Source organism: Homo sapiens, chromosome 13 (genome assembly GCF_000001405.40).
Source record: "Homo sapiens chromosome 13, GRCh38.p14 Primary Assembly".
Taxonomy (NCBI): domain Eukaryota; kingdom Metazoa; phylum Chordata; class Mammalia; order Primates; family Hominidae; genus Homo; species Homo sapiens.
This window is the reverse complement of record NC_000013.11, coordinates 107,314,826-107,335,110: the sequence shown is the minus strand read 5'-3', so window position 1 is coordinate 107,335,110 and position 20,285 is coordinate 107,314,826. Positions and strand designations below refer to the sequence as shown.

The 20,285-nt window shown below is 36.4% G+C and overlaps 1 protein-coding gene and 1 non-coding gene across 2 annotated transcripts in view; both read left to right on the top strand.

Annotated features, from left to right (window-relative positions):
- The window catches only part of NALF1 (NALCN channel auxiliary factor 1), a 703,987-nt gene that overhangs the window by 532,386 nt on the left and 151,316 nt on the right, over positions 1–20,285 (top strand). The gene's annotated exons all lie outside the window — the stretch shown is intronic.
- SNORD31B (small nucleolar RNA, C/D box 31B) lies at positions 14,148–14,216 on the top strand. The gene has a single exon (NR_145739.1). It is a non-coding gene; the product is annotated as a small nucleolar RNA, C/D box 31B (small nucleolar RNA).

Below are 20,285 nucleotides of genomic sequence, written 5' to 3'. Positions count from 1 at the left end.
GGAACGGCATTCTCTCTAAATCCATCCTCCGCACTTCATCCTGACCGTGGTATTGAGGAGATCACGAAGACTTCAGAGGTCTTTAGGTGTCCTCATCCTCTCCTCATCTTTGATGGCAACTCTCAAAATCTCAAAACCAAAACCACAAAAAACACTACCAGCAATAACAAGCAGTAACATGAGCCTCTATCCCAAATTCTTCCTGAGCCTGAGAATATTGCTTTTCATTTCACCCAGCAAGACAAAGCACCATCAACTTGATAGGCTCAACAAGAACTTAGAGAGCAATCCTTCACTGTGTTCCTTAGTCATGTGTTTAAAGCGTCACTACATTTCCCCCAAAAAGTAACTGCTTCTAATTAGTGTGAACAGCATTTAAAACGTTTTTTAAAAAATCTTAGCTTTAAATGTAAATTAGTGTGGAGAGCCATTTAAAAGGTTTTTTAAAAAGTCTTAGCTTTAAATGTAAATAGAGACTCCATTTCTACCAAGAAAAAACTTTTTGTAAATTCTAAATACAATCTTTCCCCCCAGCTTTCACTTTTCATTGTTGAAAAAATAACCTTACTACTGGTGAACTCCTAAAGGCGCTCTCTCATTAAGAGGGTGAAAGAACCTTCTGGAAGAATGTGCAAATCAAAGAAGATATGAAGGATCCTTCTAGAGAGCCAGAGCTGATTGGGCAGAGTGCTTGGAAAGGAGGGGTTGGAAAAGAATACAAAAGGGAGGGTTGAGCTGAAGAGCTAAGCTGGGCCTCAGCCTTGGTCCTTCGGGCAGGATGTTCTCAACTAAAAGAGCAAATCAGATGATCAGATTCACCAATAAAGCATTTTTTATAATCATATTCTGGGGTTTCTGTTTAGGAAGAGCACCCCAGGTTAAAATGATGTCCCTCTATGCAAATCTTTAGACTATTACTACCATACTTAATAAAGGTTTGTCAAAAGGTCTGAATTCCTTGAATTTGATCTGCCATCACAGCAACTGAATTATAATGAGAATATTTAATTTATGTTTAGTTTCCTTTAAAATGTGTGTTTCTAAATTTTCTGAGACTTTTATTTTTACTTCTAAACATAACTTCATGAATGAAACAGTGGCATGAATGAACATAATACATTCCCTTTATTTAAGGGAAACTGGAAGGAAAATATACAAAAATAAAGATATATCCTTTTCTCTGAATTATTCATCAGTGAGAAATTCTGAAACTTGCAAATCACAGTCAGTTTGTGAATAGCAAGGAAAATACCACCCATGTCAATGAACAGAAATGATTCCATCTACAAATTGAAAACATTCTCTATCCCCTCAGGTAAAAGGAGAAAGTAACAGCTGATTGCTTTCACTTCGACTTTCACTTGCTTTGGGATTGAAGCCACTATACATTAGTAATGCATTTTATGGATCAACCTCCTTAAAACAGCTCAAGTATATGAGTATTTGGTCTTTTTCCAGATCCAGCCAATTCTCACTGTTCGCTGATTTTATAGTTGTGAATTCACCTACTTGCTAAAATTTACTCGTACCTGCCCCCCACATCAATACTCACGGAACTTCCTCTGTCATTCATGGACATGCCCAGAGCAGTGAAAAATGTGAGTCCCTCCACAGGTCTGTCTCCAACTGAGGTCGCACAGAGCCATGCCCTCCCTGCTGGCTGGGGCCAGCTCTCATATTGTAAGCATGCGTCCTTTTTGAAGCCTATGAGTGCCATGTTTTTCTCATTTCTTGTGCTTTTTTTGGTGATTTTACAGCCTAAATGACTCCCAAGTGGAGTGCTGAAGCACTGTCTGGTATTCCTAAGCCCAAGAATTCTGTGATGTGGCTTACAGAGTGTATGTTAGAGAAGCTTCATTTGGGCATGGGTTATAGTTTGTTGGCCATGAGTTCAATGTTCATGAATCAACATTATATATTGAATCAGGTGTCTTTAATCAGAAACAGGCATAAAACAAGGATGTAGGCCGGGCACAGTGGCTTACTCCTGTAATCCCAGCACTTTGGGAGGCCGAGGCGGGCAGATCACTTGAGGTCAAGAGTTCGAGACCAGCCTGGCCAACATGGTGAAACCCCGTCTCTACTAAAAATACAAAAATTAGCTGGGTGTGGTGGCACGCACCTGTAATCCCAGCTACTCTGGGGGCTGAGGCAGGAGAATCGCTTGCACCCATTGGGTGGAGGTTGCAATGAGCCGAGATCATGCCATTACACTCCAGCCTGGGCCATAGAGCAATACTCTGTCTCAACAAAAACAAAAAACAAAAACAAAAACAAACAAACAAAAAAAGAATGTACTGATGGGTTGGGGGAGATGTGAACAAAGGTTCGTGGGACCTTACCCATGTAATTTACTAGGAGCAATGGCTCTATATCCACTACTAGGTGTTCACAGTGACTTTTTAAAGCATAACTACCATAAGAAAGAGGCAGCTGCATTCTTAAATTTACTTTTTTATTTAAATTGTTTATCAGAAATAGAATCCCATTAATATTGTTTTTAAATCATTTTTGAAAGCAGATTGGAATTCAGTTTGAGCAGTTGTTTCTATAGAAATATGTTGGCCCCACAGCTGCTCCTGAGGGGCCATGCGTAGAGACTGGGTCTGTATTCCACTGACCCAGGGCCGCCTCCAGTACTGGAAAGGGCTTTGCTCCGGCTGTAGCTCTGTGAACTATCACAGTAAGTGAAAAGGACACCCTCTAGTTGTATTTTTCTACTCCTGCTGCTCCTTTGCAGATTTTTTTTCTCACCGTTTAAGCAGTGTTGATGTAATTCCCTTCCATGCTTAAATTCTCTATTTGTATGCCAGGTGGCACACTGCTGAATGTGTTTCTGTCCCCTTCTGCAAGCTGGGTGATTTGAGTGGGGTGAGAAGGGTCATTCCTATGTTGTTATGGGACTCATAAATGAATGTTTTTGAAAGTGGGGTCTTTATTGCTACTTTAACAAAATCTATGCATTCAAAAGCTAATTGTTTTATAAACAAAATGGGTTTGTTTGCAAAGACCTAATATCAGAAACTAAACCTTAATGTCCATATCCAGGAATTGTTCTTTTACTGAAATATAATTTAAATTTACTGGCAATTATTTCTAAAGAACATATTTTATGAATCTATTTTCAAAAATAGACAGTATACATAGGATGCTGAGTGAATTTTGCTCTTGGTTTTTCATTGACTATTTTGATGTCCTTTGAAATATGTCCTCTTCAGCATCTAATAATTAATATTTTAGGATATATAAAATTATAATGTCTTATGAAAACATTTATAAACATTTTGATTCTCTTTTCTAAATGTCCGATCCCTTCTGAGTCTTTACAAATATGCATAATATTTTTCTCTAATTTATTTGAAAGAAAATTATATCTATTATATAAAAATTGCTTCATGTTCTAATGAACAATTATCTAAATCCTATTGTTATTTCGTGATAAAGTATAGAGAAAACAGATTAGAATGACTGTCAGGAGAACAAAATTCTAATGCTGGCTCAGCTACTAGTTAACCATGTAAACGTCTACAAGGTATTAGATTGGTGCAAAAGTAATTGCGGTTTTGGCCATCACTTTTATGGTAAAAACCACAATTCCTTTTACGTCAACCTAATACTTAATTTTTGTGGACCTCTGTTTCTCCAGTTGTGAAACACAGCGGTGAGACTGGGTGTCCTCTATGGTTCATGACCTCTGAGGAAAGTATAGGATCATAAGAACATGGTAAACATTACAGTGCTATGAGAACATTGCCTTTATCTCTTAAAACATTTCTATTATTTATTAACAAATTGATCCTCCGTCTTGACAAGCAATTGAACGATTGCACTACAGTCTTCAAAATATTACATTACTGAGAATGATACCGTACCAGAAAAAAAGTTAAATATGAAATTTCTCTAACTGCTAAAAAAAGTTTTATAAAGCAGTCATTTTCATTCAATATTATAAAGTTGAAGTTTCCAAATATGTATTTACTATTGTTCTATAAACAATTTTAGAAAAAGTGAATATTTAAAACTGTTACTAATAGTATTTCTTAATCTTCTTTTACCATCCTAATCTATATTCACTGCAATTATTACCTATTTTATTAATGTTCTGGGCCATCTTGCATTCCTGTAATTCATGAAACAGGTTATAGTCAACTATTTTAAAAAGTCATTCATAAGTAGAGAAAAGATAAATGCAGACATAGAAAAAGGCTATGGCACAAGAAGATAAGATAATAGAAACATTTTCATGTATTTGAAAGAATTTTGTTAGCATAAACCTTCATTTTTATTCTTGTTTGAGCATTCTATGGTGTTCCTCATGACAGGGTTTGAATTTAGACTGATCGCACTTGGAATGGAAATATGCAGTTCAGCTGTTTGTACACAAATATGAAACAATTATTCCTGGAAGCACATTTATTCCAATATCCCTCTGTAACTATGGTGACACAGCCCCGCGGCTTGCAAAAATGCACAGGACTAGAGTCTGTGAAAAAGACCTTATGTGATAATTCTGTATTTGAAACATCAGTTTAGGAAGAGGGTGAAACCCCAAAATATCCAGTGTCCCTTATGTTGTGTTTACTAATATTGGGTTGTAAATATAAACTACTTTAATAGCTACCAAGATGTGTTTTTTACCCAAATTGAGAACCAAATGAGAATTAGTTTGATTCAGAGTGTGATTCCCCACAATTTCATAATAAGACCAGGAATACAGATCGAAATTTAAATATTCCGTTATGGTGATATTGACAAATATTGAATATTACGTATAATGGAGACAATGTGCTCATATATTTCTCAGCATCTTTTCTCTTTGGACATCAAGTAGACAACGTTTCAAATTCCTCATCATTAGAGCCAAAATAAACACATCAGCTCCTCTCACTTCTGGGAGCAGCCAGCCACCTCAATTTATACCACAAGTGTTCCAGTCAGACTGTGGTTTTAACAAAGGCTACAGCCCTGAAGTGCCTCGTGTAGCTATTCAGTGCAGCCTTCTCTAGGAGGCCTGAGCCTAGGGTCCATCCTGGGCAGGGAGATCTGCATGATTTTCCCTAAACAATCCCTCCTGAGTTCTCCAGAACCAAAGGCAACTCTGAAGCAAAAATCGAGTGTTTCATTCGCACACCTCACTTCCCCAAATCCTATGACCTGAAATGAAAGCAGGGAGGACAGAAATCGTCTAAAGTTTTAAAAGGTAAAGTTAGGCAATAAAATCTGTAAGGACAATTTCTTTCTCTGGAAAAGTAGCTATGCAGCCATAAAAAATGATGAGTTCATGTCTTTTGTAGGGACATGGATGAAGCTAGAAACCATCATTCTCAGCAAACTATTGCAAGGACAAAAGCCAAACACCGCATGTTCTCACTCATAGGTGGGAATTGAACAGTGAGAACACTTGGACACAGGAAGGGGAACATCACACACACATCAGGGATTGTTGTGGCGTGGGGGGAGGGGGGAGGGATAGCATTAGGAGATATACCTAATGTTAAATGACGAGTTACTGGGTGCAGCACACCAACATGGCACATGTATACATATGTAACAAACCTGCACGTTGTGCACATGTACCCTAAAACTTAAAGTATAATAATAATAAAATTTAAAAAAAAAAAGAGAGTGAAGCCAGGTATTCCCAGGAGTGAAGCTACTGGACAGTGAAAATGAGGCTTGTTGGAAAACACTTATCTGTGTCAGAACATGGTGCTCCCTGGATAGTTGAGATCAGATTGCCATGACTTAGGTAGAGTGCTCCTTTCACAACATTTGTTATTAAATTGCTATATGAATTTCTAGAAAATTCTTACATTGAGATTTTAATCTTTGTTATTAAATCAAACTTTACTGCTCATTATGCCTTCATTCTTTGTGCTCTTCTAAATTCCAGAAGGCATATTTTCAGTTCCTAAAAATTTTATGTTTAAAGCAATGTGTTAAGGAATTATAGTTATTTTATATTTATGGTACACGTTTGTTCTTGAATGTTGCACATTTCTTGATCCCATTGAGATGCTCTTCCTCATGATATAATCTAAGATGTTGCAGTGTCACACTGGTGAAACACTGTACCTCATTTTGATAACTCATTGAGAAGCTCTTCCTCATGATATAATCTAAGATGTTACAGTGTCACACTGGTGAAACACTGTACCTCTAATTTAAAACCTAGTTACAACATTTTTGGTAGACCTATTGGGTTAGTGTTTTTCCTGAAACCCTTTCTGGTTTGCATTGGAGTTGTGATGGTTCAAGATTCTGCAAAAGGGGTAAATTTTTGATAGCGTTGGCCACCACTCTGTGGTTGAGCCTGGAGACCCTAAGTGCTGTCACCCTGATTTCCTGCTGTGAACCTAGAGGCTTAGCATATGGATTGCAAGGTTATTCTTCTATTTCTTCCTTTAAAAAATGAGATTAGAAAATTGTTTTTCCAGGACATGGATAAAAGGATTGATTGAGGCATTGTACTATTCATTTAGAAATTCATTCTGTTTCTTCAAAACACTGTATCTCAATAGAAGAGAGAGAGGAGAGCAGAGAAACCAAAGGTTTGTCAAGGCCATTTCTTAAAGTGTCTTTATTTAACAGAAGGAAAATGCTTTATGGGAGGACTTCTCATACTAGTTGCACTTTGGAGTTTAAGTTGTGATAAATTAGAAATTGTTTTAAAAAATAATTTGAACAAAGTACAAGAAAAGTTTGTTTTAAGCACCTACAATACACTAAGCACAGAGGATGTGAGTGTGATGAGTCTGGAAAGGAAAATTACAGAATAGTGAGAGCCAAACAAAAGTGTGTGTGTGTGTGTGTGTGTGTGTGTGTGTGTGTGTGTGTATTGCAGGAGATGAAAAGTTGGAAGAAGTCAAAGGGTGTTTAGGAAAAGGAAAAGTAGCCAGGCACTGTGGCTCACAGCTGTAATCCCAGCACTTTGGGAGGTCGAGGTGGGTAGATCCCTTGAGCTCAGGAGCTCAGGATCAGCCTGGGCACTGGGCAACATAGTGAGACCCATCTTTACAAAAATTAGTCTAGCATGGTGGCACATGCCTGTAGGCCCAGCTACTCGGGAGGCAGAGGTGGGAGGATCACCTGAGCCTTGGAGGTTGAGGCTGTGGTGAGTTGTGATCCTGCCACCGAACTCCAGCCTGGGTGACACAGTGATATCCTGTCTTAAAAAAAAAAGGAAAAAGTAAAGCACTTTTAAGCTGAGATCTGAAGGATAACTAGGATTTCGGTGGCTGGAGTACCACTCTATAAAGAGGGATGGCAAGGACAAAGGTTTATAGAGTCACCCATAATCAGTCACCAGGATACCTTTAATATCTGATGGCTGTTCAGGCTAATTAGCAAGTACAGAAGAGCAAACCATTAGCCATTTGAATGCTGGTATTGCAACCACAAATAGGTAAAGAGAAGAAAAGCGGAAATGATCACTCAGTAAGATGCACTTGAGGTCCAGTAGCTCAAGTCAGTAAAAAGTTTTTTAAAAGTATTGCTATCATGTTTCATCAAGCTGAAATTATTCACAAGCCAGATAAATTACCATATCTAGGACACTCAGTGACATTTGATTAAGTGGTAATTATACCAAAAGCCTGATAATAGAAAAGAATGTATTAAAATAATGTGAATGACAGTCTATTAGAATATCGCCCATTATAGAATGGTTTGGCCACAGGAACCTCATTCATACTGAATTGGTTTTATAAAATGATCTCTCTTGAAATGAATGTAGTTCAACAGAGCTGCAAGGTGGAAGAATGCAGCACCCAACACCTTCCCTCTTACAAGTCAGCAGGCCAAGGCCCATCTGAGTGAGGACAAGAGGCCAGGCTAGCTATAGCCAATGGACTAAGCTAGGTGCCAGGCTCCCCTTTCTGTAGGTCTTGGTGGCTGCTGGTATTTAGAGGCAGGTAAAAGCTATAATTCTCCTTGCCTGATAGCAAAGTTGCAGGCAAGAAGAACTATAACTTTTTAAAATTATCAACTAGACCTAAAGAAAGTCATAACATCTAAAAATTTAGTGAAAGTCCCAGTTCTCTGTTCTGACCTTTGTTGATGACAGAAACCTTCAATGTGTGATTTTGGGGTTAGGCATTCTTGTGACAGGATCTGGCTAGCCTGGCTGGATCATGTGAGGGAATCCTCTAATTAAGATCACCCTCAAGGCCCAGTGGAGACCAGGATCTGGCTAGCCTGGCTGGATCATGTGAGGGAATCCTCTAATTAAGATCACCCTCAAGGCCCAGTGGAGACCAGGATCTGGCTAGCCTGGCTGGATCATGTGAGGGAATCCTCTAATTAAGATCACCCTCAAGGCCCAGTGGAGACACTATCCCTGGGCACCATGCTGAAGAGCCACATTCTTTGCTTGCTGGTTTCTTATATTCTGTCCCTGCAGGGTCTAAAGCCCACTTAAAGTATTCTGTAGACAATTCACAAACCTTCAACACTCATTTTAATATGAAAAGTAATACAACGCCCATTATATTACTCAATCCTCTCAGTGTGATCTTCCATAAGGAAGCTGAGTCCAAATCTGGACTAATCTACTGGCTATGTGTAGACCAGTTCCTTAACCCAGTCTCAGTTTTCATTGCTATAAAATGGGGAAAATGGAGAATTGGTCTAAGAATTAATTAAAATGATGCATATAATTCACTTATTACAATGTCTTGCATGGAGGAAAGGTCAATCGTTAATAAAGTTGGTAATTTACATGGCATCGCTCTAATACCTGTGACTGGCCAGATTTTCACGCACCAGGAATGCCCGAGAAGCTCTGTTCAAACCAGCTATGCTTCAACATTCTCATTTATCAGAAGGAGAATGGAAGGAAGTGTAAGCAGGTCTCATCTCCATTAAACTTTGCTTCAGGTGCACTAAGATGTGACTGATGCTAATTTTTCCAGATTTTATATTATTTAGGTGGGACTCCAATCCCAGCCTCTTGATTCCTGCCTCCTAGCATTTCTGCCTTCAAAATTGTTTTCACTACCACAGATTTTTTTAAAAAAATTGTTTGGAAATTTGTATATTTTCCTTTTTGGATGACTCGAGGCTAATGAAACGATTTGATGAAAAGTAGGATTACACACACACACATATACATATATATGTATATATGTATATGTGTGTTGTATATATGTGTGTATATATATGTATATATGTGTGTTGTATATATGTGTGATATATGTATATATGTGTGTGTGTGTGTGTGTGTATATATATATATATATATATATATATATATATGTGTGTGTGTGTGTTGAGACACAGTTTCTCTCTCATGCCCAGGCTGGAATGCAGTGGCACACTCTTGCTTCACTACAACTTCCGCCTACCAGGTTCAAGCAATCCTCCTACCTCAGCGCCCCCAGTAACTGAGATTACAGGTGCATGCCATCATGCTGAGCTCATTTTTGCATTTTTAGTAGAGATAATAAGGTTTTGCCATATTGGCCAGCCTGGTCTTGAACTCCTGACCTCAAGTGATCTACCCGCCTCAGCCTCCCAACATGCTGGGATTACAGGCGTGAGCCACTGCACCCAGCCAGATTATATTCTTAAAAAGATAAGTGACTGTATAATAAAATATTGGAAGTCAGTGTAAAAATCAAGTCTTCCATTTGCTTTTCCTCAGCTCTGAAACATACTAATTTTGGGCAAGCCATTATATTCCATGAATTATTTGTCTTTAGTCAAAAAGGGGTTATAAAATGTCTCATAAGATTGTCTTGAGTGTTAACTTTAAAATAGATGTGAAAGAATTTGGAAAAAATAAATACTTGGAAAAATTAGCTCATCATCATCATGCATTCTGATTTCAGGCCATTATATGATTTTATATTATTTGTATTATTTTAATTTTATTTTTTATGCATATGATATTGGATTATGCCATTTTGTCTTATAATATGCACACTATGCTTCTCAAAAATACAGTAAATGGTTGTGTCCTAATAATATTAGGACGTGAAAAATAAATCATATGTTAACTGAGTACTTCCATATTTTTAGAGAAGCCACTGATGATTTCAAGATAGCTCTTGATTGAATAGACTGCCTTTGGCAGGAGGGAGTGGATTGCAATAGTCATCTTTACAATTGATTCAGTTTCTTCAGTAAATCAAATTTGTGGCAATAGACATAAATCATTTCAGAAGGCTAAAGTGAACAAATTGACTCATCCAGGTTTTGTTAATATCATAGTGTAGAAATGATCTACATGGCATTGAATAATATACCTTGAGTTATTGGATAGTAGATACTTTGGCATAACTGTCACATATCAATCAATATAACTTCAGCTCTTTTGTAATGAATTATAATTTCTTTACAAGTAATAAAAACTATTGAAAAGTTAGAAATATTTCAGAAAAGTTTGGCCACTGTTTCATGAGTTTACAAGTATATCTACTGTGCACACACACAGGCACACAAACACAACTGATACGCAACATTCTATGAGTCAATGCATGGTGAAGAAATAGAATGTTTTGATTAACCCACAGTTACTCCTCTATGCAATGATATTATCTAGCAGATGGATACTTTCTTGGAATTTAGGGATTTTCTTCTAGAATTTTGCATGTGAATGTGCACAAGTGCCCTAGATACTGTTCTTCCCCCCACTCCCAGAAATGTAGTACTTTAATCTGTTAACCAGAAAGTTAAGTACAAGGTCAAGTATCTTAAAACAGATCTCAGAAATGCAAATTGAGGTTGTCTCTGGTGAGTTTAGGTAAGCGTATTAAATCTAGAGGAAAGAAATATTAAAATAAGTTCTAAAAGGATTTTCATGGATATAAAGCAAAATATTTTAAAATGATAGGCCTTTTGAAATACGTCTTTGATTAGAAGTATGAGATACCATGATTCAGAAAAATAATAGGAAGGACTGAAAAATACTGTCAAAGTGTTAGGACAATAATACAAATGAAAACACTCTAAAGCCACTTTTTTATTTCCTACTGGTGAAAAAATTTCTAGAGAAAATATTTTTTGTTTTCATTTGTCTGTTGCCTAGGCTGGAGTGCAGTGGCACATTCATAGCCCACTGTAACCTCGAATTCTTGGACTCAAGGGATCCTCCTGCCTCAGCCTCCTGAATAGCTGGGACTACAGGCACACATCACCATGCCGGCTAATTTTTCAATTATTCATAGGGATAGGGTCTTGCTATGTTGCTCAGGCTGATCAACTCCTGGGGTCAAGCGATCCTTCTGCCTCAGCCTCCCAAAGTCCTGGATTCCTAGAGAAAATAAAGGCAGGTGTATTCAAACAGTCTCTTGGATAAGTTACAATTTAAAACAAAAAGTTGGGCAAAGAAGGAAGGATAAACATAAGACCAGGGACAAGCACAATGGAATGTTTTCATAATTTAGTTGTTGTGCATTCCTTCTGTTTGAGAAATGTTTATTGCAGGTCGACTGTAGTACAGGTACTAGAGTCTGCTCTGGGCTGTGAAAACAGGCAGGCTTTCATTTCATCCCTCACAGTCTGATTGGGGGTAAGTGAGTAATTAGGAGTCATTGGAAGACTTTAAGCAGAGGAAGTTGATCAGATTTGTGTTTTTAAAAAGCGCTATATGAGAAAAAAATAGAGAAAAAAAATTTGAGGTGGCAACATCAGAAATAAACTCAGAGGCAGATCAAATAATCATTCCCTCAATCTCCAAAAATAAACAACAGTCATGTAAGATTGAAATTGAACAGTGCAGTTGAATTTTCTCAATAATTTTAAAATAGTGATTTGAAGATGAAAGCCTGAAATGAAGCAAGATTGGTGAAGTGTCTTCAAATCTGAGTGGAGCTGTTAGAACTATTCAACAGACACTGAGGAATTATAGATACAATGTTTTTTAATGGAACTGTTTTCACACTAATCAGAAGTTCTATAGCACGGAAGCATTTGCAATTTTGTGGAGATAGAGACTTGAATCCTGCTACTGAAAATCTGGAAGGTCACAGTCCAGTAGTGGTCTCTTAACTGGTCCTTGCTTGTCAATACTCCAATGGTCTATTAATAAAGTCAGAAAACTTCATTCATGAAAAGATAAGCGTTCTGCAAACAAACAGCTAAGCTTTATATTAGTTCAAAAGAGAAAGTGAAGTCTGTGGTGGATCTCAAAAAATAAAAGCTCTGGGTATATCCAGGTGTGGTCTGTGGCATTCAAAGGTGTGCAGACTTCCAAGGGAACAGGAACACCCTTGACTCTATGGAATCTGGTGGAGCAAATGTTACTGTTGGAGCAGAAATGACATCGTATTGGGGATCATTTTGAAAGGAGGTAATTTATGAATGGTAAAGCAACTCAGCCTCCACTTTGCCTGTCTCCTTCCTTACAGAATTGTGGACTTGAAAGAGTGGACAAAGGATGGTTATGAAATTTGAAGCATAAACTGTGTGAGGAGAGAGAAAGTATGTACTGAGCCCATCAAAATCTGAGGTTCCCAGGACCAGAGGAGCACATCCAGGAAGCTGCTGGAAGAACTCCCTTCTTAGGCTGGTCTTCAGTCATCCTTGGTGTTCATTCACAAACCAGGGATTAGGGTGGAGGTACCAGAAAATCACAAATGGAGTATTTTTTTAATTCAAAAGGGAGAACAAAAGGAGTTAGAGAACAGGTAGTGTAATGATGACTCATAGTTAATTTCTAGCACTGAATGATTGGTTGGTATTTACTTAATAATAAGTCATCACGAGAATCTAAAATTAGCATATGCTGTCTGATGCCATGGATTATTTATGTTCTAAGACTTCTTTATGGTTTGTAATGAGGCATCTGACAAGGTATATTAACCAGTCTTTTGAATAAGAGATAGATATGTATGTAGATTTATCCACGTTACATGTAGGTGAGCATAGAGCTGTTTAAAGTTTATCCTAGAAAATGTTGTTGAAGAGGAAAAATAGCAACTTGAAGGTGATAAGGAATTACAGAGCATATACAAAAGAAGGTTGGATTCACATGACCAGCCAATGGAAATAACTGTTATCCCTGGAAAAATACAGAGATCTCGCCTGAGTTTAAGTAAAATCTTCGCAAATACAAGACAAGGAGTCCTAGTTTAGCAAACACTCTGTATCCATGATAAGCTAATAGGGTGGGTGGTATGGGTATGAAAAACAAACCAGAAACTAAGGGGTTAAGGCTCCATTAATAGAGAAGAGAGGAAAAATCTCACTCTACCTTAATTGCTCTGATGTGACAGAAATGAAATATATACCGTTTTTTTAGGTTTTGGAATTCTTATTTTAAACAAGGATATGGATAGAATTGTGATTGAAAAAGTGTTAACAGGTACAGCATCTCAAAATGATGCCACATTTGAAATGATTATTTTTGATAAGATGCCATTTAGGAGGACCTGGAGCTTTTTAAACACTTGAAAGGATGTGTTATGAAAGACATTGCAGGCAGAATCTGTGTAGTTCTAGACGCAGGGCCAGGAACAACCCATGGAAGTTGGTGGAAACCAAAGTTCAGTTCAAGTTGAGTGCAACTTTTTACCATGTAGAGATCTGAAAATAGGCTGCCTTTTCGTAGAAAAAAATGGCAAATATCTTAATCCTCAGAAAGTCATCTCACTAATTATTCCTGAAATCAGTGTTTAAACACCTGGAACAAACTTGTTAAGCTTAGCTTTTTCTTCAACTCACAAAGCAAATTTTATGTTTCCAGTGGAGATCAGGATGTTCTTCTAGCAGGGAAAATTGCACAAACTACAGGGAAATGATTAATACTCAATATCAATCTCTTGCGATGTTCTCATATTTTTTCTCAATATTCGGAAAAATAAAATTGCTTCTGTTCTGTTCCTTTAGCCAGCCTGTTCTCTTCAGCTCATTAATTTATCTTGGAAACTCCACTTTTCAAATTTAAAGGCCCATCATTAGGATGTTTAATATTGATGGGAAAAAGTAAAATGACTATTTTACCCACAAAAATAAAAACATTTGCTATCCTTTTTTGATAAAGGTCTTCTAGATTTGCTTCACCCACTTTAACTTTTTCTATATATGTTAAAATTCAGTGTGCAATAATATTTTCCATTTCTCCACATTTTAGACTTCCTTAGCTTATTTCTAGTCACATAAATTCTTTTTTATAAATGTTGATAGGAAATACCATTCTTAATGATACCACCAGTGATGAGTTGAATACTGCCCCAGTCTGATCAACATGCGTGAAAGATATTTTCTGAGCTGTGAGTTTGAAAAATAAAAATAATTTTTTAAAAGATATAATGGCTCCTGTTGAGACAATTTATTAATATAAATTCAGAGATATTCACAGCCAAAAGGAGCATTGGAGATCATAAGATTATTAAGGTCACCTTATGCTTTTGTTATAAGAGGAAATCCTGCAATCGATAACAATGCAATGAGTGAGTTTGTCCTGTCGTAGATCCTTTTCACAGGGCCTGGGATATAGTACTTAGTGAATGTCCATAAACCAACATTCTTTACTCAAAGGAGCCCTATTCGTTCAATAGTAATAATGGAGGGATTATAGGAATAATTCCTGATTATCTCAAGATTTGCTTTTTATTACCCATTCTAGGTTCATCATGATTAACTGTTTAATATTATTTCGGTCCCTTGACCTCATTCTCTGCAACTAAGGAGTTGATGTGAGGAAGTAAGAAAATGAGTCAAAGATTTGGAAGAAGTCCGTTTGAAGTTGAGGGTTTCACTGATTAACAGTGGAATAGGTCAAAAGAAGATGATTTTGTTGGTTAAGTTTTTTGTCTTTTTTGTTTGGTTTTGTTTTTTGTGTGTTAGCATGGGAGAAACTAAGGAAATAATTCCAAAGGAAAGGCTTTTGATGGGGTGTTTTTCTCCTGAATTGCATAGTTTTCAGATTTATTTTAAAGGATGAAAATGGCCATATTTTCTTACTGCCAGTCAATGTCTGTTTATTTTTTAGGCACATCTTTAAAAGACCCCCTAGAGAAGTGTATATATGTCATACAATTAGCAAGTCAAAAGACTGGAGCTTACCTTTTCTAGAACATCTCTTCCATGTCTATATCTCAATATACCATGGTTTTACCAAGAGGCTTGAAGTTTATAACTGGTGCCTTGTTCTGTTCTGTAAGTTCCTGCTAAATGCCTCAACTTTGGTGTGTCACAAGTACTTCAAATTTCAGCCCTTTAAATTGGCCTTGTGGTCATTCCATTAACTCCAGCTTCCCCTCGTTAGATTAGTGGTGGCTCTTTTCACCCACTCACCTAAGTTGGAATCCAAGCATCATCTTAGAAGCTCTGAAAGTGATCAGGGGAGTCTGAGGGGAGGTAGAATGTAGTGGCTAAATGTACAGGCAGTGGTGTTCAACTGCCTTGGTTTGTAATTCTGAGCCCACCATTTACTGACTGCATGAACTTGGAAAAGTAATTTAAACCTTCAGTACTCCTATTTATTCATCTGTATAAGTTGAGAGTATTAGAACCTACCTTATATAGTTGTTATGCACATTTAATGAATTAATAATTATCTTAAATATTTATATGTGTTTCTTTTTATATTTATGAACCTCTAAGAACAAGGCAGAAAATAGCATAAGCACTTTCTTCTCATATCTAATTAATCACCAATTTTTAACAAGTATACTCCTTATATTGCGCCTTTATCTGTTCCATCCTGTTTATCCAGTGGTGTTCTTGGCTGTCAGTGCTTGAATCCAGGTTCTTGTCATATCTCCATTAAATACTGCAATTGTCATTTTAATAACCTTCCTGCTTTTGGTCTTTCCCTGAATACCTCCTTCATGCTCCTGGCTGAGTGATCTTCCAATATATTAATATACATCTAATCACAGCGTTCTTCTGTCCCACGTTCACCAGTTCAACATTCTTTTGTGACTCATCATTTTATCACTAACGCCCACCACCCCAACCCTGATGGTTTTGATGGGATGTTTATGATGGCCGGAGGACCAGTTGGCCCAGCCCTATCTCTTGGCACATTCTCCCTCACATCTTTCAATCAAACAATGCTGAGAGACACCCTGCCTCCATCTTTGAGCACTTTTTTAAGACGTTAGGACTGTGACTTACCAAACTGAACTCCTTGAACTCTGCTGCTTAACCAAAATTTTCTGGACAATCATACGTCTATGTAGAAACATGTATGTAAGATGAGTCTTGGAAAAACAAATTCACTTACTTATAAATGGACATACAAATGGCAGCAATTATACTGTATGCATTGTGCTTGCTTTATGCCATAGGTGGACCATGTCAATTGAATCTTTATTGTTGTTTTATGAATTTTACCTAAACCATTCTTTATTAATGAACCTTTAGTTTGCCCCTATCTTTTTGCTCTATAATCAGTGTCACCATGAACATTCTTGTGCATAGTCTTGCCTACATGTACAAGAACATTTGTAGGAAAAATTAGTAAAAGTAGAATCGTTGGGGCAAAGGGTGTGAATGTTCAAAATGTTGATGAGTATTTCCAAGTTGCGCTATCAAGAGGCAGCCCCAGTTTCTAGTCCCACCACAATACGTGAAAGTTTCCATTACTCCTCTCCTTCCGCTCAAAGTATATAGGCTTTTTAATTTAATGTGTAGAAATCTAAATTCCCATTTGAAACTCATACTTTGTAAATGCTGCCTCTCTCCTAAGATATTTTTAAGGTTTGAAAAAAGTGGTACTCATAACATGGCTCACCGCAGAATGAATTACAGTTTTTTGCAATTTGCAAGCATTCAATAACTCAGTAACTTAAAGAGCCATGTTAGGGCAGTGACACATTCTGTGCAAAAAGATACGAATACAAATTCTAGCTTACCATTTTATTTAAAGCCGGAATTGTGCAGTTGATAACAAACAGGTGAAAATTTTCAAAAAGCTTTGTTATATTTTGAATGATATTTACTTGATTGACATATTTTGTCAGAAAACTGTCATTTGTAAATAATTGCTTAGGACTTTTTTAATAAAATGAAACAAAATTAATAGAAAAAAGATTATTTGCTTCCTTTGCTTTTTTCTGACAGAGTTCTTATGCTCAGTCGTATCTCCTTACCGTATTTGCATGCCTTTTATGGAAAGCAGTGATAGAAAAGTATGAGAATCTTCAGTGATTATTACCTGTGTCAGTTCTATTAACTGATGCTACTGGATTTTGAATGCTTTCTAAGCATTTTTATTCCAAAAATTTAACATTTTAATGCTCTACTCATTTGTTAGTTTTTGCTTCTTTTCTTTAATTACCTTGAAAATTTTCTGACATTTTATTTTTAGAAAATTCTATATCTTATGTTTTAATGCTTCATTTTCTCTCAATTTTATCTCATTGTTTTCTCTCAGTTTTTCTGGATAACTCCCAGATATCTTGTCTTTGTGGTGTGGATATTATAATTCAATTATTTCTAATAAGTTATTTTGTACATATTATAAACATTCATATGTTATATGCTACTATTTCTTATAATAGTCTAGTATATGCTCTTAATATAAGTTAAGAATTAAAGATCTAAATCAAACTAGAAGTGTAATCTGTTTTGCATGTTTCTTACTTCTTCCAAACTAAGATTGAACATTGTGTTTTAGTATCAGAATTTGGGGATAGATTGGTTTTAAAATTTGCATCTAAAGATTATTCCCAGGAATTCTACATGTTTTTAAACCTCTAATTTGTTTAAACCTCCCATATGTAAAATTGTTAGGATATTATAGACAAAATGGATAAAAGTCAATACCTCTCTCAATGGGATCATAGAATGGTTTTGTTAAAAATCGGTGATTGGCACCCCAGTACAGATATGCTTTAATGATAGTTTATTAAACGTGTATTAAAATGTATTCTTAGACACATATGCATGTCTCAATAAATGATTTTATGCATGGGTCGTCTAACTCTTGAAAATAGTTATATTACAACCTTGATTCTGCTTCTAGATAATCTTTCATTTTGCTACGTTTTGTCACAGATGATAAAAGATTAAGTGTAAAACTAAGTATTATTTGAGTTCTTGCAAAATCAGAATTATAGTCTTGGTTACTAATGTCTCTACAATAATGTTAGGCAAGTTTTATATCTACTAAATAGCAATCAATAGTTTTTCTCATTTCCTAGAAAAGATCTTTCATTTACATTTCTAAAAATCTTTTAAAGTGTTTGATTTTCAGTACTTCCCATGTATTGCTTATTGTGTTCATTGCAATGATGACTTAACTGAAGATTTAGGTGTTATTCTTTGACCAGTGTATATGTAAAAGTAGGCAGCCAGTTGCAAGTAAGTCAGCAATAAGCAGAAGAAGTGGATTCTTAAAAAGAGAAAACTCAGCTTTAAGTCCTAAGACTTAAGAATCTACAAAGAACTCAAAGAAATTTACAAGAAAAAAACAACCCCATCAACAAGTGGGCAAAGGATATGAACAGACACTTCTCAAAAGAAGACATTTATGCAGCCAAAAGACACTTGAAAAAATGCTCATCACCACTGGCCATCAGAGAAATGCAAATCAAAACCACAATGAGATACCATCTCACACCAGTTAGAATGGCCATCATTAAAAAGTCAGGAAACAACAAGTGCTGGAGAGGATGTGGAGAAATAGGAACACTTTTACACTGTTGGTGGGACTGTAAACTAGTTCAACCATTGTGGAAGTCAGTGTGGTGATTCCTCAGGGATCTAGAACGAGAAATACCATTTGACCCAGCCATCCCATTACTGGGTATAAATCCAAAGGATTATAAATCATGCTGCTATAAAGACACATGCACACTTATGTTTATTGCGGCACTATTCACAATAGCGAAGACTTGGAACCAACCCAAATGTCCATCAATGATAGACTGGATTAAGAAAATGTGGCACATATACACCATGGAATACTATGCAGCCATAAAAAATGATGATTTCATGTCCTTTGTAGGGACATGGATGAAGCTGGAAACCATCATTCTCAGCAAACTATCGCAAGGTCAAAAAACCAAACACTGCATGTTCTCGCTCGTTGGTGGGAATTGAACAATGAGAACACATGGACACAGGAGGGGAAACATCACACACTGGGGACTGTTGTGGGGTGGGGGAAGAGGGGAGGGATAGCATTAGGAGATATACCTAATGTAAATGACAAGTTAATGGGTGCAGCACACCAACATGGCACATGTATACATATGTAACAAACCTGCACGTTGTGCACATGTACCCTAGAACTTAAAGTATAATAAATAAATAAATATATATATATATCTATAAAAAATAAGATATTTTGGGCTTCAATTCATTTATCATTTTTATTGGAAAGAGATATGCCCATTTTTATTACCTTGGAAGAAAGAAGCCAAACACAAAAATAATTTTAAGCAAAGAGAGATGCTAAACACTTAAAAAACCCTGCTAAGTAAAAATAGAGAAGCAAGCTGAGCATAGAAAATAACTGCAAAAATGTTCATGGCTGACTCTTGGTAAGGGTGGAAGACCTGAAAGGATTACGTTTCAATGTCTCATACAGAAAACACTTACTCAAAAGAAAATCAAAAAAAAGGAAAACCCAACAAAGTACCTTGGAAATTGCATTTGCTCAGTGCCAATATGAAATTGCCTGTAGTTTTTATGTATTTTACATTTTATGACAAAGTAAGTATCCAAGAGAAAGCACTGAAGGTAGATTATAGAAGACTTTCCAAGTCAGTAAGAGAAAGCTACACATGCAACGAGAATATATTATTTTTTAAATACCCACTGAAAAGCAGCGTTTTAACAAAGTGAGTTTGGCTGCATCCATCACATGGGTATGGGATGAGTATTAGAAGGTAATATTTAGTGCGGAGGGTCTGGCTCAGAGGGATAAGAGTGAAGCAGGGTACATCTTTATATTTTTATATTTATAAGAAATTTATATTTATAAGAAAACAAAGAATGTATTACTGTATACAAATGAAAGGTAGTAGAATTCTTTAATTCTTTCGCTTTTTTATTTTGATACAAAGAAAGGGCATTCAGAAAGGAGCCAATATGAGGGAAAAGGTCATATTTTTAATTTTGTTTAAGTTGAATTTAATTTAAAGTGAGGGCTGAGAATTCTTACAGAGTAGTTAACTGTTGGAGCATATTGTGAGAATCCACAGGGTAACCCCCTTAGGAGTATTTGGGTTGATACTTTCATAGAAAAATGAAGGAGCACAGTGAAAATGCTTTCAGATTCATTACCTCATTCCACCACCACCAGATGACAACTTTATGGCTTGGATTCCACTATTTGAATTGCGTGAGCTTTCACTCGTCAGTTCATTTCTCAATTCAGCTAATCT